The following is a 1,741-nucleotide window of genomic DNA, read 5'->3' as shown; positions in this document are numbered from 1 at the left end:
CATAACTTTTTTGGCTATAAACACGGCAAGGCTACGTTTGCAGCCATGACACATGCATTTACTCCCACTATGCAGGATTCACCTTGATGAGAGAAGCCTAGTTAGAGAGGCCAAGGGAGATGGCTGCCATCTTCCCAAGGCAGGACCTGTCTGCTTGGAAAATGGCACAAGAATCTCCTTGATTCTAAACGGTATCAGGTTTAAGATGCACCACTGATTTAAAGATAACGTTTTGCAGGGTGAGGGGGGTGGGGAGGAAATACCCCTACAATAAGCTTGTACATCAGATAAAGAAGAAATACAATTACAGAGAGATTAAAATGAAGAGCGAGAGAGGCGGGGTGCAGTGGCACATGCCTGTGGTCCCAGCAATTTGGGAGACTGAAGTGAGAGAGAAAGAAAGGAGAAATTGTATCTTCAATAGAAAAAACTACCGTACAGATTCTCCTCCTGGGGAAGTCCACTTCTTTATCCAGAAGTTCACTAACTACCTGCACTGCCACCTGCCCTGCTCTGAACAGCAGCCTGTGGCCCAGGCCTTTGCGCCCTTGTCTATCTCAGGCATGGAAAGAGAATGTAGAGAATGTGAAGCCCTCACCCTTACGTGTGTTGCTCAGCCTAATCTCCCATGTTTTCCTCCTTGCAGTTTTCTTCCTCTGGGGCGAGGAGAAAAAAAAGAGAGCAGGATTCCTCATTCATCCAGTTTGCGGGGAGTGAGTGGGAGGAAGTCTAATGATGGAGGCACAGAACAAACCCACACTCACAGCTGCTTTTAGCCTCCCCGTATCTATACCCACAACACCTCCTTACAGGGCCTAGTGGTCAGTATTCTCAGTGCCTTTCCAGAAACCACACCTGGCCCCAGAGGTATGGCATGGTGCCATCTAACAGCCTAGGTAAGGTCCCCTGAGCACTGCCAAGCAAGAGGCAGTCTGTACAGCCCTAGGGTGTACGGGATTCCTAAGTGCAGGAGATGGTGCAGCTAGGAGTGCAGATGAAAGCCCTCAGCTGCCTGAAGCTCACATGCAGTGGAGGAGGGAATTGGCTGTCCAGGTGATGGAAGTGCAGGTAAGGCAGCTGGAGACAGGTAAGCCATCGTGGAAGCTGCGACCAAGCCCAGGGATAGAGGAGCAGGGCGGGGGGTTGCGGGGAGGGCAGTTCTTGCACACAGCAAAAGGTGGGGGGGCAGAGGGTGACCCCAGAGGCAGGAGAAGGGGTGTACATTCCTGAGCCGTGAACCCTGGGACAGCTGGAACTCAGGATGCAGAGGGAGGGAGATGAGGGATGCTGCAAATCATCTGTTTAGAGAGGAAGTAAGGTAGACTGAGGCCAGACCACATCAGCACGTCCCTTGCCAGGACCTACATTAGGGTAAAATAATACCAGATTTCAGTCATTCCGGGCTTCCAAGCACTTTCTTCAGACGATTCATCATTAACACCCCTAAACATCTTTGCAGAAAATTCAAAAACATGGCCTTCCGGAAATATTTGCTGCTAGACAAATGTAAAAGCCCTAAAGTGCCTATACCAAGGGGAAATGAGAACAGTCAACATCCTCATGTCCCTCCAGAAAGTGTCATCAGCTTCAGGCCCACGGGCACCCAGCTACCTGCAAGCCACCTTCGCACCAAGCTGCGGGCTCTGAAATGCACTCAGCGGAAGATGACCCTGAGTCCTGTGCAGCAAGACAGCAGTTAACTTTATCCCCAGAACTTCCTGCATGAAACTAGCTAAGATAA

Source organism: Homo sapiens, chromosome 6, assembly GCF_000001405.40.
Source record: "Homo sapiens chromosome 6, GRCh38.p14 Primary Assembly".
NCBI classification, from domain to species: domain Eukaryota; kingdom Metazoa; phylum Chordata; class Mammalia; order Primates; family Hominidae; genus Homo; species Homo sapiens.
This window is presented reverse-complemented; position numbering follows the sequence as displayed.